The following is a 25,927-nucleotide window of genomic DNA, read 5'->3' as shown; positions in this document are numbered from 1 at the left end:
CGCAGTGGGGAAATGTGGCATGCTCTGCGGCGTGGGCCAGGGTGCTTGGTGATGCGGGTGCACTTGGAATTCTATTTAGGCACCCACAAGACACCCCAATATCTTCCCACCCTCAGCAGAAAGATGTGAACTATTGAAGAGCTGTCTGCTTCGCTGCCTTGGGACTGAGGAAACAATTGCTCTCTTGGGCTTGGACTGGCAATTTAGGACTAATGGAGATTGTGGGGAAAGGATGGGCAGGGCAGGTTGGGGTGTGGAGGCTTTTTTCTGCAGCACGGCCCTGGCCCTGGGATGGGAAGCACCTGAAACTTCCCTGCCCAGAAGAGGACAGTGGTCCCCAGGCTGTTTCTACAGGGGCTATAATAGCACGTGGGGACATTGACAATTTAGTCAACTAGCCCCGAACATCTGATTCATTTAGAAATCTGAGTTGACTGGATTCCAATCCAGCTAACGTTTATGGAGCCTCTGTTGTGCGGCCAGCATTGTGCTTAAACTCATGTCTGTTGTTTTCAGCATGACTGGTGGGAGCTCCTACCTGGTTGACATGGGGCACAAAACTGCATCATGTTCTGCTCAGGAAACATGTATTGAGTGGTGCTTCTGTGCTAGGCTTGGGGATTCTGAGTTGAGCGGAGATGAGAAGAGACCTCGTCTCCTACTTCCCTGCCCAGGGGGTCCTGGGTGGTCCCAGAACTATTCAGCAGAAGCATTTGCTTAATCTCAAGGCATTTTGTTCTTTAGGAATTCTGGTTCTATTTCTTATCCAAAAAGAGACACAGATACTGAAGCTGAAATTTGTTATTGTACATAAAACATTCTGTTCGCTTCATCTGGTTATTTGATGGGAAACAGTGGCGTTTGGATGCCTGTTTATTTCTCACTATTGGGAAAATAATCCTGTCCCCCGCAGGCTTGCCACTTGGGTCCACTCCCCATCCTTCTCCAGCACCGGGACTGGGTTTCTGGGGAGCTGGGCACCGTGGCCGTGGGGAACTTAGACTTTCCTTGGATCTTCCTGTTGTAGATTCTCGGCTGTGGGCTCTGCAGTGCATGCAGGAGGGAGCGGGGGTTCCAGAACATGTGATTTGAAAGTAGGAAGAAGGGGGAGATGCCGGATATATCAAAAGCACATGGAGTTTTCACACTGGGGGTAGAGGGATTTAAAAAAATCTCAATTCTGAAAAAGAGACCCGGTGTGCAAAACCCTTTCCAACTCACGAGCTCGTTAGGAGTCGAATTCCACCAAAGCCATGCCAAAGAGTGGGCCTGTAACCCAAGAGATCCCTTTGGAAGGACAGTCAATATCTGATCCCAGGAATAAGGGGAACCCCTGTGTGTGTGAAGAGAAAATCCTAGGTTCAGCTGTGCCTCCCCCCTTCCCTCCCTCCTCCAGGGATCTCGGGTTTAATGTTGGCCCTTTTTGGAATCCACACAGCACCTTTCTCATGGGTTTAAAAATAGACTCCAGGGCTGCCAACCCTCTTAAAAAGAACATGATGGAGATTGGTGCCAACTCTGTGGGGCCTGATCCGGGCTCTGATCACCTCCCTAAATAGACCCCCGCACTTGCCATCCCTTACTCCAGCCAGGCCGGGTGCCCAGGACACCTTAATTGACCACTGGGCACTCCCTACACAAAGTTAAATAGAAAAACAACCAAGACTCCATTCCTCTCTCCCTTTCTTCTGTCACTGCCATTAAGGTTAAGAAGGAATGACCAGGTTTAGGGGGGGTCAGGCTGGATTTCTGATTGAATTCAATGTGACATTTGTGTGGAACATTCTGTAAAGTTCCTTCCTAGTTAATAACATTTCCCCAACAGCGATGCTCCTGGTGGCTGACACACTCCCCAGGGTGGTCGCTGGCTGGGTCTGAGTGGCGATAAACCAGCCTGCCTTTCTCGGTAAAGGGTGGAGTTCCTGGTACCCACCCTTATCAGTGGTGCCCAGAGTCTCTAGGAGCAGGGGCGGCTCCTTGGGTGGGTGAGGATGGAACAGATGGAAGGAGGGTCAGGAGGAGAGCCCAACGGGTCAGCTGGCCACAGCCAGCAGCAGGACACTGCAAGGGCAGCTGCGGACAGGGAGCGTGGGGGCACAACTGAGTCCACACATTGTTTCTTTGCTGCAGAGAATATGGGCATTGAAAAGGGTGCATTGTAAGCCCAAGAGGTCTGGGTGCAGGGTAGAGCTTTGAGATTTCTTGGGATCCTGATCTTGACCATGGATGTTTGACCCTGGGTAAGCAGTGATGAGGCCTTGATTTTCCAGTGTTGAAGCAAGATCAGTGACAACCCACACCTCTGGGGGAGACATTAACCTTTGACAAAAGCTTTAGTCGAGAAGAAATGGAGGGGAGGAGGAAAAAAGAGCATCAGCTGTCATTGATAGAGCACTTACCAAATGTGCCAGAAGTGGTGGTCAGCATTTTACATTATTCTCCCAATATTGGAGAGATGGGTGAAGCTATTTTCACTTTACTGATGAAGAAATCAATGCTCAGAAAAGTCATTTCCTTTATCAAAAGCTGCACAGCTCAATTGTGGGAGACCTACTGATTTAGAGCCTCTTAAGAGGCTGTCCAGAAAGCAAATAGTGTTGTTGCTATTGAGTTCTGGGTTTGAGTTGATTGCATAGGAGGGTTAAGCGCGACGGTCATTGCCACAGGGCCTGAGCTGCCAGGATGCCCTTCTCTCGAATCCTGGGGCTGCCCTGATCTCAGCTCTGATGTCCCTGTAGAGAGGAGCCACTTCATGTCTCTGACTGGCCACCATTTGAAGCAGCCCGGACCTGTTCTCCCAAATCATCCTGGGGAGGCAGAGTCGCCTGAGAATCCCACTCGCATGGGATTCTTTGCTGCAGGCTTGTGTTCTTCCAGCTCGTGAAATCCCTGCAGGAATTGACAGCAGCAGCAGCCCATCAAGTGTCCCAGAGTCCCTGTCTATACTGAGAACAGCCCACTGCATCAAGCCAGGAGCGAGCTGGGGGTTTAAGTGCTGCATAGTCTATTTCTTCCCTTTCTTCTCTCCCACATCATCCCTGCTTGGCATAGCTGCATGTGGCCCAGAGGACAGAACCCCACAGGCGAGGCCTCCAGCTTTTCATTATGCTTGTCTGCAGAGAGACCTGCAAGGAGACAGTAGGTAAAATATTTAGCAAGACGGGAAAAGCCTGAAGACTCCATGAAGCTACAGGCTAGAACAGTGGCCTGTGTCTGCCGAGAGTCTTTAGCCTTTTCTTCAGCCCATCAATTCCTTTCTGGTGGTTTGTTTTGATCTCACTAGCAAGTTCTTAGCACACTAAATGCCTACGTTAAAACGTGCAGCCTTGAAGTATGAACAAAATGCAGATGGAGAAGCAGGATGATTATTTGTGGTCTAAGGGTGTGGTTGTGATGGAAGGTTGAGGGGACAGTCAGTTATGGGGAAAAGAACAATAGTTTAGCTTTCTGAATCCCTAGGGCCCAAAGAGACCCTTCCAAGTCGTACAGCTTACCCAGTGGTCTATATGCCAGATCAAATGTTGAGGTTTTTTTTTTCTGCCATCCTGAAGGATCTCCTGCAAAGATTAAACCCTTTCTGAATAAAGAGTTCTATTAAGTCACGTATCTCTTATAGCTGGAAAGTTCTTTCTGTGGAATCTAAATCTTTTCCATAGCAATTGAACCCCAAGACTTACAGTTTCTTTATGACTCATGGAAGTGTTGGGGACATCATTCTTCTAACACCAGTCAGTAATCACTGTGTTTAGCACTGCCCGGCACTGTGCCAGTCACATAGAGGAGTAGGTGGGGAAAGCAAGGGAGAGGGACTGGGAATTTGGAACATGAGAACCAAGCTGTCTCTGCCTGGGAGACATTTAGAATTCAGTCCTGGTGGCAGGCCACCACACCTGGGACTGGGCACCATATAATTAGCTCCAATGTGGCATTCCAGGCTGCAGTGCTGGAATTTATGTTTCAAGGGCTCTCTCCCTTAGCTTTATCATCTCAGCTCCTTTAGCCTCAGGCCTCACTGAGCAACATGTTTGTAGTTGTGTTCTTTCTCCTCCTCTTGGGCCTTGCCTGACTCATCGCCTGCCTAAGTTTTTCAAAGCCTCAACCCTAAGGAGGTCATGACTAATGTCAAGAATTCTTGGCAGTTCTGAGAACTAAAGTCCTCTGATAATACTTCAGCATCTTTCCCATTACACTCAGAGTGCTGTGGGTTGTATTCAGCTTCTGGTCCACTATGACTATCACATCTTTTAATTTGTGATTGTATATAACCCACAGCGTTGTATAATATGAAGAAAGATACAGCTTAAGAATTATAAGAACCGAGTACCAAAATGCGACTGGGAATGTTTTGCTACTGAGCTTTGAATATTTTACTTGTAAGATCTGTTTATCTCACCTTTAAGACAGATATTCTGTATAGATAGAACTCTCAAAACTCAATAAGAAAACAAACATTCCAACTTAAAAATGGACAAAAGATTTGAACAGATGTATCACCAAAGAAGATATATAAGCTGGGCGCAGTGGCTCACGCCCGTAATCCCAACAACATGGGAGGCCGAGGCGGGCAGAGCACCTGAGGTCAGGAGTTCAAGACCAGCCTGACCAACATGGAGAAATCCCATCTCTACTAAAAAAATACAAAATTAGCTGGGCATGTTGGTGCATGCCTGTAATCCCAGCTACTCAGGAGTCTGAGGCAGGAGAATCGCTTGAACCTGGGAGGCGGGGGTTGCAGTGAGCCAAGATCATGCCATTGCACTCCAGCCTGGGCAACAAGAGCTAAACTCTTCCTCAAAAAAAAAAAAAAAAAAAAAGAAAAAAGAAAAAAAAAAGAAGATATATAGATGGCAGATAAGCACCTGAAAAAGGTGTTTAATATTATCAGTTATTGGGGAAATGCAACAGACCCCTTCTCTACAAAAAATTTTTTTTAATTAGCCATGTGGTGCATCTATTAGGATGTCTGAATTAAGACAGATCATACCAAGTCTTGACAAGGATGTGGACTGGCCGGCAGGAGGCAGGGAATACCAAGAGGCATGAGGAAACTTTTGGAGGTGATTATGCCCATTATCTTATGTGGCCATGGTTTCAGGGATATACATATGCCAAAACTTAGCAAATTGTACATTTTAAATGTGCAACTCGTAGTGTGTCAATTAATCCTCAAATAGTTGCTAAAAAATAGTATCTCTTTCAGTTCATTGTGCAAGTCAATTGCATTCGTGTTTTTAAAAGTATTATATATATTATTTACTCATCTGAGCGGGGAATTTTCTCTCTCTCTCTCTAAATATTAATGTTGGAACAGTGCATTAGAATCCCTTGAGATATTCCACTGGGCTGTGATCAGGGATGTTCCAGTAACCATCATTTATTAATTGGAGTTCTCTGTGTAGAGGATTCTAGCAAATCTGGAAGGTGGTTTTCAGAGGTACAAGGCGAGAGACCTGGAGGGTGAGCTGGGCTTTAGCAGCATGTGCCTGGGGAGGGAAGGGGCTGTGTGACTTACATCCAGACAGGCTGCTGCCTTCGAGAGGGTGCCCATCCTCAAGTTCAGCCCCAGTGCTGTGGAGGATCTTATGCCTGGAGAATTCTCACATTGTCATCTTCAAATACCAGTTTTTTAACCCCCATGGGGAGGAGTTGTATTATTACATTTCAGATCCCTCTTTTTGGCAACACCCTGGCCTTTTCTCTTGATCTTTGATTATCCCACTTCCTTGGGATGCCCCCTGATTGCTGCATAGCTTTGAAGCGTACCTGGCTTTGTAACACACTCTCACAGTATTTTCTTCTTTTTTAATTTTTATTTTTTTAGAGACAGGGTCTCACTCTTGTCACCTGGGCTGGAGCGCAGTGTTGCAATCATAGCTCACTGCAGCCTCCAACTCCTGGGCTCAGGTGATCCTCCTGTCACAGCCTCCTGAGTAGCCAGGACTACAGGCATGTGCCACCTTGCCTGGCTAATTAATTTTTTTTTTTTTTTTTGTGGAGACAGGGGGTCTCACTATGTTGCCCAAGCTGGTCTTGAACTCCTGGCCTCAAGCAATCCCCCCGCCTCAGCCTCCCAAAATGCTGGGATTATGATCCTTCAAGATCATCCCCCACATTATCTCTTCCTGGCGCTGAGTACACTATTGTTAGGAATCTTGCTGGTGCGGCCAGTGGCAGGGCTTTGGATCAATTTGGCTTAGAACCAGTTGGACCCACCATTTACTAGTGGTGACCTTGGTCTCCACCCATTACCTCCCTGGGCTCAGTTTCTTCATTTATCCAACTGTAGTAGTGTTGCCTACCTTATGGGTGGCTGTGAGGATTAAATGAGATAATGCAGTATGTCCATCAGCTAATAGGCGCTGAGCGTGCTAGTTCCTCACCAACGCGCAGCTGTACTGTACAATGTCAGGGGACAGCGGGAGAGGAAAAGAGCATTTGGTATTGTGTCTTGACTGTGACTTGAAGCCAGCAAGAAGCCGGCTTATGATACAAAACACCTATGATCTGAACAAGCCATATTGCCAGGGGCCCAGTTACCTGACACTGCTTTTACTTACGGTTCCCTCATCCCTCTGAATTGAGCCTACTCTTGATGATGTCACCCCTAGTCTTCTCCAAAATCCCAAACATGGGTTTTGACATCTGCCCCTGAAATGACTGCATGAAAGGGTGATAGTGGTCCCAGGACAGAACACTGGTTGCTTACTGCACGGACACAGCCTCGGGTGACGCTAGTTAACCGCCAGCGTCAGAGCAGTGCGGGAGGCAGCGGGGAGTGACAGCTCTGCCCTCCTGCAACCCAGCTGCGTCTGGCGGCTCTCAGGCAGAATCTGGAATAGGCTGATTAACTGGTATCTCACGACACGATGGAAGAGCTCAAAACATGCAAATCGGTTATGGGGCATAAATAGAGTTTGCTGAGCTCACCCCGGCCACGTCTCGGCAAGCTCCGGGGCCCATTCACCAGGGCATTCGGGGAGGCGGGAGGCAGGGAGGGAGGCCATGCAGCTTGGAGCTCCTCACCTCCACTGGACGTGTGTGCCTCCCCTCCGCAGGGGCAGGACGCCCGCCCCGAGCCCGCCGGCCGGCACCTGCAGCTGGGGCTGCACCCCCGCCCGCGCCCCCGCGCGCACCCCCTTCGCAGGGCTTGGCAGCAGGTGCCTGCTCTCCGGAGAGCGCTTCGCATTAACTTTCCCATCTGACATAATCATGGAGAGAAAATGAAGAGATCCCATTAGCGGCAGGCTGGCGGGCGGGAGAGCGCAGGGCCAGGGCCGGGCCGGGGCGAGTGGAGGGCGCCTGTATTTTTAGCCAGATGCCGCGTAACTTGCTGGCGCTCCCCGCGCCGCCCAGCAGATAACCGGGAGGGGGAGCGGGAGCCGGGCTCGGATTTCAGCGCGGGCGCCGGACGATGGCAGCGCGACAGGGCAGGTCCGGGCCAGACCCTGCGGTGAGTGCACGAGCTGTCGCGGTTGCCCGGCCGGGGCCGGGGCGCGGGGATCGGGGCCGGGGCCGGGGCCGGGGCTCTGCGTCCGTCCTGCGGGTTGTGGCTCCGCGCCCGGCTGCCCGGCGCCAACTTTCCCCGGCGGGTGCGGGTGCGCGCGCTGGGGCTGCCCTTCTGCTGCCGAGGCTTCTAGCAGGATCCAGAGGAAAATTCCTCTGGCCTGAAGGCTGCGGCCGCGGAGGGGCTGGAGCCGGGGTTGGGAGGCAGCGGGACTTGTGGCCGGCCTGGAAGAGGGGCACGGGCGGGAGCGTGGAGCCGCCGCCGGGGTGCCCCGAGGGGGGCCGGGCCCTGGCCGAGGCCAAGTCCCCTCACCCCAGGGGACAGCCTGGCCGGGTAGATTCAGCAGGGGGTGGGAGATGCACGGCCTTGGGCCGGGCGGGGACCTGGCTTGCGGCACGTCTGGCCCCTAAAACTCAGAAACGTGAGGCGCCCGGAGGCCCCCAGGTAGCAGGAAATGAATGGGGCAGAGGAAGGCAGACCTGTTGGGCGCCCTGGCAAGCCTGGAGCTCTCTGCCGCTGTCCCCTTCGATTCTCGCAGCCCCCTGGCAAGATCCCCATTTTAGCAATGGGGAAATGGAGGTTTGGGGCCTTAGATGAGCACAGCATCAAGTGGTCGAGCAGTGCATCTCAGCCAGGTCTTCCCCAGTGACGTCCCAGCCCACCCTGCCCAGCCTCCAGGGTCGGGTGCAGACAGCACAGGGAACCCCAGGGGTTTTCCCAATGTCCCGAGTTCGGGTTGAGAGATTAAGAGGGAGCCCAGCACTTCCGCTCAGGCGTCTTGTTTCCTCAGTGACACCTTTAACTTATTCATTTTATTTTTGCCAATGGTAGTCAGACTGGGGAGCCTGGAGACAGTTTGTAAAGCTGTAACAGCACACCTTTCTGGAAGGCAAAAGGAAAGAAACATAATAAAACACACACTCACTAGGGCCCAGTGTTCACCTCTGTTTCTCCATCGTCAAGGGAGTAAAGGCAGGGCTACCAGGCTATGCTGGCTGGGGACAGCTGTCTTTCCTCATACCCCAGTGCGGCTCTCAGATCCCCCAAGCACAAGCAGACAGCTCCACATCAGGGCTGCTGCCTGTCTTCTGGCTGGGCTGCAGGTCCCCCAGGAAAGGACCTGAAATCTCTTCCTGAGAGCTCTGACAGTGGCTGCGTTAAAGAAGCTGCATTTTGCTCCAACAAGACCCCTTGGGAAAGTGGCATTGCCTTATGACTGTTTACAGCAATTGATATTAGCTCAGTTTCCATTCGCCTTTCTAGATAGGAATTTTGTACTAAAAATCTTGAGGTCAGTCATGATTTGTCCTAGGGAAAACTTAGGCCACCCCAACCCCCAGAGAAGGTGTGAGGAGGCCCTGGGGTTCTCTCACCTGGGTCTGCCTGCTGGTGTTTCCCAATGTCCCCTGCTCATGGGTGACAGCATGTTGACATTCTGCAGCGTGCTTCCGGCCCCTCCCTCTCAGGATACTGGAGCCCCCTCGCACCCCATCTATTGCTATATTAGTATCTGCTCAGGAAGTGCAAGTTTAATAATAGTCTGGGTGTCTCAGGTAACCAGGATTCACCACCCTTTCAGAGCAGTCCTGATGAGAACTTAATTCCTAGGAAGAATTCTGTTCCCTTCCTTCTCTTCCATTCCCTTTCTCCTGACGTGGGCACAGCCTCCAAACCCAGGCAGAAGGCTTTCTCCAGCCAGAGCTGAACTGGAGAGGACCCTTATGAGCACTAGAAAATGATTAGGCCAGCACAGTGGCGCATGCTTGTAATCCCAGCATTTTGGGAGGTGGAGGTGGGAAGATTGCTTGAGGCCAGGAGTTCAAGACCAGCCTGGGCAACATAGGGAGACTTTATCTCTACAAAAAATAAAGAAATTAGCCAGGTGTGGTGGTGCACGCCTGTAGTTTCAGCTATTCGGGGGAAGGGGGTGTTGACGCAGGAGGATCTCTTGAGCCCAGGACTTTGAGGCTGCAGTGAGCTATAACTGCACCACTGGGGGACCACTCTGGAAGAAAGAGGGAGACTCTGTCTTGAAAGAAAGAAATGGAGAAGAGAGAGAGAGAAAAAGAAAGAAAGAGAAAAAAAGAGAAAGAAAAAGAAAGAAAGAAAGAAAGGAAAAGAAAGGAAAGGAAGGAAGAAGGAAAGAGAGAAAGAGAGAGAGAGAAAAAGAGAAGGAAGGAAGGAGGGAAGGAGGCAAAGAAGGAAGGAAGGAAAGAAGGAAGGAAGGAAGGGAAATGATTGACCCAGGAAGCGGTATAGCACAATAGTTAAGAAGTATGCTACCTAGACTCAAATCCTGGCCATGCTACATATTAGCTATGTGACTTTGGACAAGTTACTTTTCTGTGACTTGGTCACTTCATCTATAAAAAGGAGATAACAAAACACGTGCCTTGTGAGATTATTCTGAGGAGGGAGTGAATTAATTTATGTGGTGTGTTTAAAACCTAGGGAGAGCTTTGTGAAAGTAAACTTGTTTTGTTTTGAAAGGAAGTTCAGGGACATCACATTGATTAGGCAGCAGGGATGCAGGCACAGCAGAATGTCTGCTGTGTGCAGATCCCCGAACACGCACACAGGTAGAATTAGATTAAAACGAAGCTAGAGATGAGGAGGGGAAGAGACACCAGAAGACAGCTTTGGTGGGGTGCACAACAGAGGTGCCAGCACCTCACTGGTGGCCAGGGCTTGTGGACACGGTGGGGTAGTTTTCTGTATAGGATGAGCAGGCCTCCTGGCCTCCTGATCTGGGAATGGATGAGCCTTGGAGAGGGCCAGTCATTCTGCTCCGGTTTGTCATAGCCCAGAGATGGTCAGGTTTGTATTTTGTTGCTGTTGTTTTTTGGGTCAGTATGTGCTCAGGTAAATGTTTTGAATGGAACACATTGGATTCTTTGGACACGCCTCCTGCCCTGTTGCATTTGCTGGATGTACTGAGGACAGGTCATTGAATTGGAGCAGTTGGACTACACAGATGGGCAGTAGGGGCTCAGCAGAACACGATGGTAAAGATGAGTCTCATATCCCAACAAGGGCCATTTGCTCTGTAGCTGAAATATTGCCTGGCCCCTAGGAGGTTCTCAATGAATACTCATGGAATGGATCCACAGGTGCATGCAATGCACATGACCGCTTTATAACACAATTGCTTGATTATTCAGATCAAGAGAGCAAGGACCTATATTCTGAGTGATTATTCTCTCTTTGCCCTAGCAGGATATTGGTCCTGAAATAGGACCCCAGTAAATACATTGTGGAATTAAACTGAATGATGTGTAGTTGCTACTGGGAGTGGCATCATTATCTGCAGTTCACCTCCCAGATGCCCTGAGGATCCTGCAGAGTCCTGACTACTCTATGCCTGGAGAAGCCCAAAAAAAAAAAAAAAAAAAAAAAAAGAAAAAAAGAAAAAAAGAAAGAAGAAAGAAAGAAAAAGCTTTAGCAATTGCACTTCACTGCTAACTATCTAGGTGACCTTAGCCGGTCACTTTACTTCCCTGGGCCTCAATTTTATCCTCAGTGACAAGAAGGGCTGGAACTAGATGGTTCCCTTCTAGAGACCTGTCTTGGTCTGAATAGAGTGCTCAGGGACAGAGCCTGAGTGGGACCTCCTAGCATTTTTCCTCTGCCATGGATTAGCTCTTTAACGGCCGAGGCATATAGGCCTGCCCAGCCGCCAGCCTGTCAGGGCTGCCTGAACACCCTCAGGCTTGAAATGGCCAAGAACGCCCTTGGGGTCAAGGGCAGTGGAAAGGCATAGACTTCAGTGGGGTACCCCTGGATTGAATCACCCCAAGTATTTATCTGCAGAACTTGGGCAAGTTATTAACCTCTCAAAACCTCAGTTTCATCACCTCTAAAATGGGGATAATAATTATACCTACCCACAGGTTGTTATAAGAATTAAAAGATATAATGCTGGTAATACATTTGTCCCAATGGTTGGTATTATAATTTTAGTATTCTATTATGGCAACAACAGAAATGGTTTAGCTTTCCTCAATCTAGTCCATATGGAGCTTCCCTTACCCTCTATTTATGTGCTTGTCTGTCATAAATTTTTTTTTTTTTTTTGAGACAGAGTCTCTCTCTGTCGCCCAGGCTGGAGTGCAGTGCCGCAATCTCAGCTCACTGCAAACTGCCTCCCAGGTCCAAGTGATTCTTCTGCCTCACCCTCCCAAGTAACTGGGATTACAGGCATGCACCACCATGCCCGGCTACTTTTTCTATTTTTAATAGAGATGTGGTTTCACCATGTTGACCAGGCTGGTCTCTAATTCCTGGCCTCAAGTGATCCATCTGCCTTGGCCTCCCAAAGTGCTGAGATTACAGGAACCACCACGCCCTGCCAGTTTGTCATAAATATTCTTCTTTTCTTCCTGGATTCAGTGCTTTGAGCAGTCAGTGTCATTAGTGGATATTGAGTCTATTTTTATCCACCCATTCTCAGGTTTTCAGCCTGAATCCTATTATTGTGCCATAAACGGTAGTTAATTGGTGGGAGAAATGTCTCTTTAACATTCTTATTCTTGGGGAATAATATAGTGTTTTTCCTAATAACTGAATCTAGACAGACTTTCTGAATCAGTAGCATAAGTAACATTTATCTGAGAGACTAAACCTTGACTGGGTTTTCTCTGGAAACCCAGCTCATGCCTGGAGAGCCAACAGCTTGATCTTCATTTCTGAAATATTTCCTGCCCCACAGATGCCTTGCTGAGGAACCTAGGATGTGAATGCCATGTGCTTTAGGTCAAGGGAGGCCTCGCCCTAGCAGACACTTAATGCTTTGGAGGATTCAAAAGAGATAGAAGACTTGGTCCCTGCCCCAAGAAGCAAACAGTTTGGCTGGGGAGACAAGACTTGCCTGAATTCAATAGCTAGAGAAAGAGATATTTTAAGTGCATTAAAAAAAAAACAAGCTCCTGTTTTGTGGTTCCTAGATTTAAAGATGGCAAATACTGAGTGTCTAAGCATAGTGTCATTCATGCAGGAAGTAGCCACCATCAGGGCCTTGAAGGGAAGAAAGATTGGAAGTAGCAAACCAGAGGGAGATGGAGCTTCAGGGCCCAGGGAGGAGGAAGGTGCAGGCTAGGAGGTAGACAGAGCATGAGAATGTCACAGAGGACAAGGGAGGTGAGAAGGGGCTCCTGCCGCTGTGGGGACAGCGAGATGAGTGTGCCTCATGAACAGACAGCCACAGGGCTTGGACTTGAACTTGAGCTTACATCATAGGGGGCCCATGTGGGACCTGAGGTTGGGGAGGGCTGGCAGGAAGTCAGGATTTGGGGAAGACCAGTTAGGCAGGGATGGAGGAGGTTGGCTGGGTGAGGCAGGGATGGAGGAGGTTGGCTGGGAGGCAGAGCGAGGAAGCAGCATTTCTGCAGGCCTGGGGTTGTGGGTGGGGGCTGGGAGGTGGTGTGGGGCAGCACCTGAGTGTGGAGGGAGGACCCCCTGTCTGGAAGGCTGGAGAACCCTACTGCTGATGCCCTAGGGACTCCCTGTTTCAGTGGTGAAGACGTGAAGCGCTGCTTTGTGGAGGAGGATGAGAGTTCCATTTGGTCTTCGGCTGTAGATTTGGAGTCTTCTGTGTTCAAGGGTGTTCAAGGGTGGTCATCACTAGTGTGTGCATGAGTTTCCCATGGTTGCTGTAACAAATCGCCACACACTTAGTGGCTTGACACTACGGAAATGTGTTCTCTCGCTGTCTGGAGGCTGGAGATCTAAATTAAGGCCTCCACAGGGACACACTCCCTCCAGGGCTTCAGGGCCTTCTTCTATGAGCCTCCACCTCCCAGAGGTTCCTTGCTTCCTTGTGCATGGCTAAAGTCACTCCAGTCTCTGGCTCTGTCTTCACATAGTTTCACCTCTGTGTGTGTGTATACGTGTGTGTGAACATGTGTGTGTGTGTGTGTGCACACAGGTCTCTGTATGTGCATGTGTATGTGTGCAGGTGTGTGTATCTGTGCATGTGTGTGCGTGTGTGTGTATGCATCTCTTGGTGTGCATGTGTGTGCACACACGTCTGTGTATGGGTGTGTATGTGTAGATTTGTGTGCACACATCTGTGTGTGTGTGTGTGAATCTGTGTGTGTGCGCATGCATCTGTGTGTGCATGTGTGCATACACATATATGTGCATGCATGTGTGTGTGTGTGTGTGTGCATGTGTGTCTTCTCCTTTTCTGTCTTTTCTAAGGACACTTGTCATTGAATTTAGGGCCAGCCTAGGTAATCTAGGATGATCTCGTCTCAAGATCCATGACTTAATTACATCTACAAAGACTTTTTTTTCAAATAAGGTCACCTTCACAGGTTCCAGGGATAAGAGTGTGGACATATCTTTTGGGGGGCACCATTCAGCCCACTGCAGCATGTTTTTTTTAGGAGGGCATGTAGAGGAAGGAGACAAAGTGCCTGGGTGGAGAGGAAGCCACTGTGGGTCTTCTGTGGGAATGGCGTCACACGCTTCTCCCATGTGTGGCTTGTCATATGACCACTCTCACCCTTTCAACTCAGCCTTGTATGCAACTATGTGCCAAACACTGTTTATTTCTTTTAAGCATCATGAAAAGGGGACAAGAAAGGCTTTACTCTCCCCAGCTTACAAATAAGGAAATAGAAGCCAACGGTGTCTAAGTACCTGAGGGCACTCAGCTAGACCCAGTGGAGTGGCTCTGAGTCTAGGCCACGGACTCCAATGCCTGAGGACTGGGCTTTAATCATTACATTTGTCTTTGTGAGTGTATTAGTCTGTTCTCACACTGCTAATAAAGATGTACCCGAGACTGGGTAATTTATAAAGGAAAGAGGTTTAATGGACTCACAGTCCAACGTGGCTGGGGAGGCCTTACAATCATGGCAGAAGATGAAGGAAGAGCAAAGGCATGTCTTACATGGCAGCAGGCAAGAGAGTATGTGCAGGGGGGTCTCTTCTTTTTAAAACTATCAGATCTCATGAGACTTATTCACTTTCATGGGAACAGCATGGGAAAAACCAGCCCCCATGATTCAAGTACCTCCCACCAGATCCCTCCCAGGGCACGTGGGAATTATGGGAGCTACAATTCAAGATGAGATTTGGGTGGTGACACAGCCAAACCATATCAATTAGTAAACTTTATTTTATTGTCCTCAGCTCTCACCCTCTCTGGCTGTCACTCATCTTTAAAGGAAACAGATGTTCCTGGGGGCAAGGTCTGAGATGCATGGGGTGGGTGACGTAGCAGCAGCTAAGGAACAGAAGAGCTTCACTCTCATTTAAGAAATCTGTTGGGGGGCGCCTGGTGTTAAAGCTGAGACCGAGCTGGCTGCAGAGCTGGGAGGTTCGGCTCATGAATTTCTGAGCCACACTACCTGCATCTGAGTCCTGGCTGTGCCTCCTCCCTGCTGTGGGATGCTGCACAAGGCACTTCTGCTCTCTGTGCCTCAGCCCACTCATCTGTAAAATGGGACTCTGCAATCCCACTTACCTCTTGGGTATTCCAAATGAGGATAAAATGCTTATCTGTGCGTGTGCATGTGTGTGAATATATATTATAGTCATCCTTCGGTATCTGTGGGGGATTGGTTCCAGAACCCCCTGTAGATACCAAAATCCACAGATCCTCAAGTACCTCATGTAAAGTGATATAGTGTTTGCATATAACCTACCCACATCGTCATATATACTTTAAATCATCTCTAGATTACTTATAATACCTAATGTAAGTGCTTTGTAAATAATTGTTGTACAGCATTGCTTTTCTGTATTACTGGGTTTTTTTGTTTGTTTGTTTGTTTTTGAGACGGAGTCTTGCTTTGTCACCAGGCTGGAGTGGAGTGGTGCGATCTCGGCTCACTGCAACCTCCACCTCCCGGGTTCAAGCGATTCTCCTGCCTCAGCCTCCTGAGTAGCTGGGACTACAGGTGCACGTCACCAAGCCCAGCTAATTTTTGTATTTTTAGTAGAGATGGGGTTTCACCATGGTGGCCAGGATTGTCTCTGTCTCTTGACCTCGTGATCCACCTGCTTTGGCCTCCCAAAGTGCTGGGATTACAGGTTTGAGCCACCACGCCCAGCCTTCTGTTAGTATTACTTTTTATTTTAGTATTGTTATTTTTAATTTTTTTCCTGCAAATTTTCCATCCACAGTTGGTTGAATAAATGGGCTTGACTGTATATGTAAAGTGCTAATAATGGCTCTTAGCACATAGTAAGTGCTATGTGCTGTTTACTTGACAGCACATAGCTGTTTGTTTACTTAACAAAAACACAGGGCTGGGTATGGTGGCTTATGCCTGTAATCCCAGCACTTTCAGAGGCCGGGGCAGGAGGATTGCTTGAGCCCAGGAGTTCGAGACCATCCTGGGGAACATAGTGAGACCCCATCTCTAAAAAGGAAAAACAGACAAATAGAAACAAAAACACAAAACAGCTCCAAAGAGCCCACGCTTGGTTCCTTTGGTGCCTGCATTCATGATTCTTGGGGCCAGGGACCTCTGTGATATTGCAAACTCTTCAGCAAGACTGTGGAGCCCCTGAAACCTCAGAGCAGGGAGACACCAGGCTGTGCTGTGCGCTTGCCATAGGAATGGGCTCCCCCTCAAAGGCTGATTCTTCCTGAGTCCAAGCCAAGAACGTTTGCTTATAAAAATACCAAAAGGGGGCCAGGCACGGTGGCTCATGCCTGTAATCCCAACACTTTGGGAGGCCAAGGTGGAAGGATCGCTTGAGCTCAGGAGTTTGAGACCAGCCTGAGCAACATAGTGATGCCCTGTCTCTATAAAAAAAAAAAAAGTTTAAAAAAATAGTTGGGCTTGGTGGTACACACCTGTAGTCCCAGCTACTTGGGAGGATCTCTTGAGCCCAGGAATTCAAGGCTGCAGTGAACTGCGCTTGTGCCACTGCACTCCAGCAGCCTGAGTGGCAGAGCAACACTCTCTCTTAACAAAACAAAACAAAAAACAAAAAACCAAAGGAAGGGAGGCCTGGGTGTGAAGGCAGTCCAACCAGGGGCTCTCAGGCTCCTGTGCACACCTGGTGTCACTGTGGGCACCAGGGTGCCACATCAGAGGATGCAGGGGCTGCTGCGGGGGCCTGGGACTTGAACGGGGTGGAGAAGTCATTAATACACCCAGGACACTCACCGCCTGTTGTTTTTCCTCACAGGCCGATGCTGCTACCAGCTTTCTGAGAGCAGCAAGATCAGGTAACTTGGACAAAGCTTTGGATCACCTGCGGAATGGGGTAGATATTAACACCTGTAACCAGGTAAGTGGGATGGAGGCAGGCCTGTTGTCTCTGAAGAGTAGCTCTTGCCTGATGCCATTTCCTGAGAGCTTTGAAACTGCCTCTATTAACCTTTTCTCAGTGGCCTCAAAACTCCCCCAGGGCTCCTGCCTGTGGAAGGCCCTAACCTTGCTGTTTCCACTCCTGCCGTGGCCCAGGGCCCCACAGAGAAGGGCTGATGCCTGAACAGTGTGGGCGAGGCCCGCACAGATCCCCTGCGGTCTCCTCGCTTAGAAGTTGCAATTGATTCCCGCTGTTGTCTTAGAATATGTGGCCTTTGAATTGGGGCAGGAGGAAGAGCCTTTGAAAGATGCTGTGTCAGTGGGGATGTTCAGTCTCCTTTGTCCACCAGCAGTCTGTGTGGGTTCTCGGCTAGCCTGAGAAGAAAGTCGAGGAACGAGGCCCCGCTTGTGTTAGGTGCTGACAAAGGCGAGTGGGCTCGGGTTGAGGATGGTGGGGCTGGTGCAGAGGCTGGCTCTCCAGGGCTCCTGAGTGACACAGCCAAGCCTTAGCTTCAGAAGGGGCTGGCGAGGAAACAAAATGTGTTTGGGTTGGGTTGGAGGGCAGAGACTCGGGCTTGGAGCCAAAGATCCAGGAACTAACTAAATAGAGAGGCAATGACCCTCCAGGAAGGGAACAGGTGTGTGGCTTGGGCTTGTGGATTGGTGACAGGTTTTGTTTGTTTGTAGATATTTGCCTGCCAATTAAGTTGTTTAGTTACACATGCTAATTGTTTCTAATTTAGAATACAGTTATCCATTGCGACTTTTTAAAAACCATCTTAGCCATTAAAAATGTGTGTTTAATTGTGGTCAGATATGCAGCATAGAATTTCCTGTCTTAACCATTTTTCGGCGTACAGTTCAATGGGATTAAGTCCATTCATATTATCCTGTAATCATCATCCATCTCCAGAACTCTTTTCATGTTGCAAAACTGAAACTCTGTTCTCTTTAAACACTAACGCCCCATTTCCGACTACTCCCCAGCCCCTGGTGGCCACCCTTCAACTTCCAGTCTCTACGAATTTTACTACTATAGGGACCTCACAGAAACGGAATCCTGCTATATTTGTACTTTTGAGATTGGCTTCTTTTATTTAGCATAGTGTCTTCATGGTTCCTCTGTACTTTAGTGGCTTGGGTGACTTTTCCAAGCCAGCAGGGCCAGATTTTCTGAACGTAGGTTAGGTTTTCCATGGGCGACATGCCTCTGTCCTACCCCCTCATCTACTGTTTCCCTATCCATCCTGCCCCTGTTTAAAATGCAAAATACTATCCGGTGTAGTGGCTCATGCCTGTAATGCCAGCACTCCAGGAGGCTGAGGTGGGCGGATCACCTGAGCTCAGCAGTTCGAGACCAGCCTGGCCATCGTGGAGAAACCCCATCTCTATTAAAAGTACAAAAATTAGCCGGGCATGGTGGTGCATGCCTGTAATCCCAGCTACTTGGGAGGCTGAGACAGGAGAATTGCTTGAACCCAGGAGGCGGAGGTTGCAGTGAGCCGAGATCATGCCATTGCACTCCAGCCTGGGTGACAGAGCGAGACTCCATCTCAGAAATAAAATAAAATAGACCGGGCGCGGTGGCTCACACCTGTAATCCCAGCACTTTAGGAGGCCGAGGCAGGCAGATCACGAGGTCAGAAGTTCGAGACTAGCCTGGCCAATATGGTGAAGCCCTGTCTCTACTAAAAATACTAAAATTAGCCGGGCATGGTGGTGCGTGCCTATAGTCCCAGCTATTTGGGAAGCTGAGGCAGAAGAATCGCTAGAACCCAGGAGGCGGAGGTTGCAGTGAGCCGAGATCGTCGTGCCACTACACTCCAGCCTGGGCAACAGAGTGAAACTCTGTCTTAAATAAATAAATAAAATAAATAAATAAATAAATAAAATGCAAAATACTACCTGCCTCCATTCCTAGGGCTAAGACCCCATTTGGATTCAGTTGGTCTTGCAGTGGCAGAAATTCACAGCTAAAAGATCAGAAAGAATGGAGCAGTATGGTATGTGATGGGAAACAGAAGTAGGTGTGTGATAAGAAGCAAAGACCCTGGCAGTGCACTTCAGAGGGAAAGTGAGGTATGTGGACCTGACTGGAATTTGCAAACTGGATGAAGGACCAGGCCCCCCGCCCCTTTTCTCATCCCTCCACCCAGAAATGCCAACATCCACATATCCACAGCCCAGAGGACATTGTGGTGGTTCTAACAAAGCATCTGCCAGGCTGGCCTTTGCATAGCAGGTTGAAACTCAGCCCATTTTTTGATGCCAAGAGGTGGATGCAGCAAAGCCTGGAGGCAGGGTGAGAGTCTTGGTGTGAGAGTTGTTCAGGAGACAGGGTCTGGGACCTTCTTAGCACTGCACCTCCAGAAGCAGCTGCACAGGCTGCAGCTGTGTTGCCCCAGCCCCCCATAGGCAGGGTGGGTTGCTCGCTCTCTCCACCTGGGATGCATTCTTGGGCTTGCAGAGATGCACACCTGGAGGCTTTCTTTGTTCTTACTGTGGCTGGAGAATTGCAGATGTGTTTCTCCGCAGTGCAGTTCTCAGCGGAGGTGAATCACACCTTCAGAGGCCTTCCAAGGGTTAAGATTCTAGCTCTCAAAGGAATCCATTCAGCTGAAATGGGGACAACTGAACGTGTGTTAGACTTGAGCCAGGGCTCATTTTCTGTGTGAAATTGGAAGATTTTGATGCCACCAGGGAATAGCTGTGTCCTGATTGGTCTCCCGTTGGAGAGGCCTTGGGTGTAACTGCCTTGTCACTCTGCCTTCTCTCCTCAGAGCACCTCTTCGGTTCGTTTTGGGCTCAGAGAGCAGCAAGCACCGAGGTATTATTTGCACTTTATTGACACCATTTCCGATTGGCTCAGCGCCAGTGACAAGTGGCTGTCAGCCCTGCTTCAGGCTGAGGGGAGGCTCCTGCCTCAGACTCAAGACTGCAGTCCTGGCTAAGCCTGGCCTCTCTCTTAAAGAGGACACTGCCACAAGTTATGAAATGAGCGTCAGAAGGGAACGAAAGACAGGACACACCAAGTGCAAAGCCCCTTGCTGCTGGTTAATTCCCACAGCTGCCAGATGTGGCCCTGTTGGTCCCTGTTTTATGGTCTGTGGCTGAGCAGAACAGGTAGCTGCAGGTGGCTGCGCCTGGAAAGGAGCTGGTCAGGGTTCCCTGAACCTCATTCTGGTTGCACAGGGCAGTTTGGTTTTGCTGTTGCAGGGAGAGTCCTGGTGGTGGGGGAGGGACTGCAGTGGCTGAACCCATGCCTGCATGAAACCCACGAATGCACCCAGCGGGACGATCCTGCATCTGCGTAATGTGCACAGGGCCAGCCTCTTAATGCTACTAGAGCTTTCTGCTCTTTAAAACACGCATAAAAGCAAGCTCTTGTCCCGGGGTCATGGCAAGAGAATTTGCTTTCGGCTTGAATCTTCTGAGCTGATGGACTGTGGTGGCAGTAACAGGGCAAATACTTATCCTTACATAAGTAACACACTTTCAAATAGTATGTTTTTGTGGAAAGAATGCGTACTGTTTGCCATAATAGGAAGTAATTACTCTAAGTAGCGTGGAAAGAGGAACTCTTGGCTTATATAAGAGATGTCTGAATATTCAGGGCAGTTCCTTGTTGTATAGACTGTGTCTACTAATGTTCTATCATCATTATCATTACCATGTCTACAGAAAAGAAGAAATTTATATGTAAGAACACACACATGTGTGCATACAGGAACCCCCTTATGTGAATGCCAATTTTAAAATTTATTGTTTGCACTTTAGATGCCTGTGTCTAATGTACTTCCTGTGCATCTCCACGTGTATATGGAGAGCTGGGCTGAAGGGATAGAATAATTTCATTTTAAAGTCACGTTCCTTATCCGTTCTGAACTGTAGTCTATTGGCAGTGAGAGCTATTAATCAAATAATGACACAAACAGATATGCATACCAAAAACTATGTTAGGAACCATGAATGGAAGGCAGAGAGTATATGAGAGGACTGCCCTAGAGTCAGAGGTCAGAGAAGGCTACCATGAGGAAGAGACAGCTGAGGTGAGGGAGGAGCAGAGGCAAATAAGGTGAAGCAAGGGAGAACATGCCGGTCTTAGAGAGCAGCCTGTGCAAAGCCCCAGAGGCAGAGAAAGGAGCAGAGGGTTGAAGGAAGGCCAGAGTGGGTGCAGTGCAGACAGCACGAGAAGCCAGGCAAGGTGGAGCTGGGATTGTGCTGGAGCTTACAGGTAGGGGCGAGAGTCACAACACTCAGCGACAGAGACAGGGACGTAAAGATGGGAACAGGAGACACTGGGAACTATGGGTGTGGGAGGGCGGGAGGAGGGCATGGGTGGAAAAACTAACTATTGGGTACCGTGTTCACTACCTGGGTGACAGGATCATATGCCCTCCAAACCTCAGTGTCATGCAGTACATTCATGTAACAAACCTGCACAGGTACCCCCGAATCTAAACTAGAAGTTGAAATTATAAACAACTGGGACAGCGTGCCCCTGGGCCAGAGCTGTGTGTGTGCATGCATGTGTGTGCTAACCAGCTGCACCAGATGTTAACCCCGTAGTTGCTGACTGAGGGGAAGGGGTCTGGGGGAGGGGGACAGTGGCCAGAGCAGCAGGGATGGGGTACTTAAGAGCCTGCAGCAGGCCGGGCGCGATAGCTCATACCTGTAATCTCAGCACTTTGGGAGGCCGAGGTGGGCAGATCACCTGAGGTCAAGTGTTCGAGACCAGCCTGGCCTACATGATGGAACTATTTAGTCTCCACTAAAATAAAAAATTAGCCGGGCATGATGGCAGGCACCTGTAATTCCAGCTACTTGGGAAGCTGAGATGCAAGAGAATCTCTTGAACCCAAGAGGCAGAGGTTGTGGTGAGCCGAGATCGAGCCACTGCACTCCAGCTTGGGCAACAGAGCAAGACTCTGTCTCAAAAAAAAAAAAAAAAAAAAGAGCCTGCGGCAGTGGCCACTGACCTGGAGGAGTGGAGCGTTTCAGCATTTAACACCTGCACAGCTGTACTGCTGTGTCCTGGTTGAATATCCCCCCCTTGTAGAAGCCACATGAAGGATTCCAGTCTTTCTCCCGAGCATAGAGGAAAGTGAACCACAGATTCAAGCACAGGAGTGACGTGATCAGGGTTGTGCTTTAAAGGGTCTCACTGGCTACCGCATGGAAAACAGGCGGAGGGCCCAGCGGTGCAGTGGGGGGGGGCCTGTGTGTGCCCAGCAGCGCAGGAGGGACGTGTGGGCATCTTGGATGAGGGTCATGGCTGTGGAGATGGAGCAAAGCCAAGCAGGCTTGGGTGATGGATTGGATGGGGCACTGAGGGGAAGTAGACTCAAGAAAGACTTTCCGAGGGCTGGCTTCCACGGCAGGTGGGTGGTGGCACCATCCACTAAATGAGGGATGCTGGGAGCAGACCGGTGTGTGGAAACACGGGGGAGGAGTCAAGAGCAGAGCTGTTCCAGATCCTGGTAAGGAGGCTCTGAGGAATCCAAGCAGAAATATATAGTAAGCAGTTGGATATTTGAGCCTGGAACTCAGATAAGAGGTCCAGCCCAAAGATAGATATTTGGAAGTCATTCAGCCTTCGAGGAAGTCGAGTGCTGACGGGGGCTGATGAGAGCAGGGAGGAAAGGCATGTTGAATATACTCCCACTCGCCTGTGTGGGGTCATTCCACAGCACTCATTAAACACCCACTCTGTGCCAGGCCTATTCTAGGCACTGAACAAGACAGACAAAATAGTCTGCGCGCTCGTGGCCTGTGCATGCTGGTGAAGGAAATAGACAATAGCTAAGAGGATGGGCACATACATGAAGTCAGCTGATGGGAGACACTGGGGAGGAGGAAGGTCAAGGTGACTATTTCGGTGGGGTGGTTGGGAGGGCTCTCTAGGGAGACGACTTTCAAGAGGTCTGGAAGAAGTAAGGGAGAGCGCCATGTGGTTTCTGGGGAACAGTATTCTTGGGAGAGCAGGAAACACGTGCAAAGGCCCTGGGGCAGGAGTAAGAGTGGTTTGCTTGGGGGAACAGTGAGGCTGGAGTTGAGTGATGGAAGGGAAGGTGGTAGGCAGGGGGGTTGGAGGAGTGCCTGGGGTCAGATCAAAGAGGGCTTGCATTGGTGAGGGCTTAGATTTTGCCATAAGGGTGAAGTCATTTGAAGGTGTTACACAAGAGATGCTTATGCTGATGGAGGTTTCTAAACAATTGCCCTCGCTGCTGTGTGGAGGATAGACTCAGAGCACAGGGACAAGAGCGGCAAGACTGGTGAGGAGGCTGGTGCGGGGGCCAGGTGGGACCCCGGGGTGGCTTTGAATAATGGGGAGAGAGGAGAGGTGGGGAGGCCAGAGGACTTGCTGCCCAGGCTTGGAGTGTCATCACCCCAGATGTGTTGGTCTCAGCACACATTTTGCCGGGGCTCCTTACGCAGCCTGGGAATGGGTCATTCTTCCAGCTAGAGCAGCCACATAGCAATGGGTTGGTAGGTTCCATCTCAGCTCAACAGCCACTGTGAAGACAGCCTTGATCCCCATAGCTTGAAGCCATTCCTGCCTTTGTGATGTGTCAGTACCTCTCTTAAGGCTCAAGCCTAGCTGGTCCTACTATGTGGCTTGGTAACATCGAGCAGGTCTTCCCTCTCCTGGTGGGCTCCAAGCCGCAGTGAGGCAAAACCCATGATTGGGGACTCTGTTTCTCCACAGCGCCTGGCATAGGATGTGTCCTATGGTAGATACTCTGGCATTTGTCTTAATAAATGGCCACATAATTGTGCACAGACCCATATTAGCTTCACATGCTCAGTTTCCAGAATTATTGTTAGATTAATATCAAATCAAAATTTTTTCTCATGGAGACTATAGCAATACAAAAATACTTTCTGGGATGAAGTAACTGACTATACACATTGATGAGTCAACCAAATAAAATAAAACCAGAAAAGAGCAGTGCCGGCCTGTGTCCCCTGAATTCCTACAATTGTCAGATTGACATGGATGTTCCACTGGGGGCCGTGAGCTGGAATCCCGGGGGCAAAAAGCCTCACTCTTTTAGTTTTCTGTTCTATTCCGATGATGCTGACACTTGCTGGTTCATTTGGCCTTCCTGATAGCAAAGAAAGGGCTTGAGACTCCAGGAGATAATTTTCCATGAAAAGGAGAAGCTTTGTCGTCCACAACTCAGCGTAAGGCAGAGTTCAAAGTGAAGACTTCCCAGAGCAGCCCAGGCACTGTTGGTCCTCTTTGCCTGTCTCATTTTTCTCCATAGTGCTTGTTACTGCGTGCCTTCATATGCATGTATGTGTCTGCTTATTTTTGTCTTCACTAAATTGTAGGCACCTTAAGGGGAGAGGGCTTTGCTTTCCTGATTGCTCTGTGTCAGGATCCTGCTTAACCTATAGCACGTGCTCATAAACCCAGTTGACAGACTGTGTGGAAAAAAAAAAAGCAGCAATGTTGTTTGCTATAGCTATGAATGGTGAAAGCTTATATATTTTATACTTAGTCCACGTAGGAACTAGACTAAGCACCATCACTTTGTAAAAGCCTTGTGCAATCGTGCATACTTAGGATAATGAGCCTGCAATAAGCATGGCTCAGATGCTGGCGTTAGCCCCACGGGTCGAGTATTTGGCAATATTTGCTGCAGTGTCCAGAAGCTCGACCATCTGAACGATCACAAAAGCATACACGATTTCCAGTGCGAAAACCCAGCCCAGGAAAGCACGTGAAACCATGCCAGCTCCCTGGATGTGCCCTAAAGTTCCACATGTGCATTAGGAAGCCCTAATGTTTATCTTGAAGGTAAAGGGTTGCGGGCATTTGGAATAAATGGAGCGCCTATAACAATAATTTCTGCTACAGTGTAGTACTTTCTACAGCAGCCAAATTCCAAGTCTTTTGATCAGGATTTCTTGTGCTCTGGTGATGGTGATAATTACGACCTTTCCAAGCTATAGAATCTTAGGGCTTAGTGGAGCTCACGGCATTCAATTTCCATTTTATAGCTCAGGAAACTGAGGTCTAAAAGTTACTTCTGAATATCATCTTATGCTGTATGACTTTGGATTTGGGGAGTTGGGCTTAAGAAGTCCAAGATGAGGCTGGGCGTGGTGGCTCACGCCTGTAATCCCAGCACTTTGGGAAGCCGAGGCGGGCAGATCACCTGAGGTCAGGAGTTCGAGACGAGCCTGACTAACATGGAGAAACCCTGTCTCTACTGAAAATACAAAATTAGCCAAGCGTTGTGGCGCATGCCTGTAATCCCAGCTACTCAGGAGGCTGAGGCAAGAGAATCACTTGAACCTGGGAGGTGGAGGATGTGGTGAGCTGAGATCGCACCATTGCACTCCAGCCTGGGCAACAAGGGAGAAACTCCTTCTCAAAAAAAAAAAAGAAGAAGAAGTCCAAGATGAGGCCAGGCGCAGTAGCTCATGCCTGTAATTCCCAGCACTTTGGGAGGCCGAGGCGGGTGGATCACCTGAGGTCATGAGTTTGAGACCAGCCTGACCAACATGGTGAAACTCCATCTCTACTAAAAATAAAAAATTAGTCGGGCATGGTGGTGGGTGCCTACAGTCCTAGCTACTTGGTAGTCTGAGGCAGGAGAATCACTTGAACCCGGGAGGCGAAGGTTGCAGTGAGCCGAGATTGTGCCACTGCACTCCAGCCTGGGCAACAGAGCAAGACTCCATCTCAAAAAAAAAAAAAAAAAAAAGTCCAAGATGAAATTTCTCTGCTCATTCATTTATTCTGCAAACATTTATTGACCAGTTACAATGATCCATGCACCATGCTAGAGACTAGGGCTAACCAAAATGAATAAATTCGTGCCCTGTTTTCAAAGAACTCAGAGGCAGGTAAAAGGTCCAGCTTGCAGATAAAAGATTACAAATTCAGTATCGTAAGTGCCATCCTGAAGGAGTACAGGAGATGTTTTTGTCCGTGTAATCATTCATTCAACAATTTTTTTTTTTTTGAGATGGAGTCTTGCTCTGTCGCCCAGGTTGGAGGGCAGTGGCAGGATCTCTGTTCACTGCAAGCTCCGCCTCCCAGGTTCATGCCATTCTCCTGCCTCAGCCCCCCAAGTAGCTGGGACTACAGGTGCCCGCCACCACGCCCGGCTAATTTTTTGTATTTTTAGCAGAG

General features: G+C 49.3%; 1 protein-coding gene across 5 annotated transcripts in view, besides 3 other annotated features; it reads left to right on the top strand.

Moving 5' to 3' along the window:
- ANK1 (ankyrin 1) overlaps nt 1-25,927 on the top strand; it is a 243,517-nt gene that overhangs the window by 121,950 nt on the left and 95,640 nt on the right. For all 5 annotated transcript variants that reach the window (NM_001142446.2, NM_020477.3, NM_020475.3 and 2 more), the window contains exon 2: nt 16,655-16,756. In NM_001142446.2, coding sequence (NP_001135918.1) covers nt 16,655-16,756 — 102 coding nt within the window. The remainder of the gene's footprint in view (nt 1-16,654; nt 16,757-25,927) is intronic.
- Nucleotides 18,518-19,187: an enhancer, noted in NCBI's record as "H3K27ac-H3K4me1 hESC enhancer chr8:41613123-41613792 (GRCh37/hg19 assembly coordinates)". NCBI's record gives its function as "activates a minimal SCP1, AML or CMV promoter by ChIP-STARR-seq in naive H9 embryonic stem cells {active_cell/tissue: H9 hESC(naive)}" and the evidence as "EXISTENCE:reporter gene assay evidence [ECO:0000049][PMID:30033119]".
- Nucleotides 18,518-19,401: a biological region, named in NCBI's record as "Sharpr-MPRA regulatory region 338".
- Nucleotides 19,107-19,401: a silencer, noted in NCBI's record as "tiled region #338; HepG2 Repressive non-DNase unmatched - State 22:ReprW". NCBI's record gives its function as "represses a minimal TATA promoter and a strong SV40 promoter by Sharpr-MPRA in HepG2 cells {active_cell/tissue: HepG2}" and the evidence as "EXISTENCE:reporter gene assay evidence [ECO:0000049][PMID:27701403]".

This window comes from Homo sapiens, chromosome 8 (genome assembly GCF_000001405.40).
Source record: "Homo sapiens chromosome 8, GRCh38.p14 Primary Assembly".
Classification (NCBI taxonomy): Eukaryota; Metazoa; Chordata; class Mammalia; order Primates; family Hominidae; genus Homo; species Homo sapiens.
This window is presented reverse-complemented; position numbering and strand designations above follow the sequence as displayed.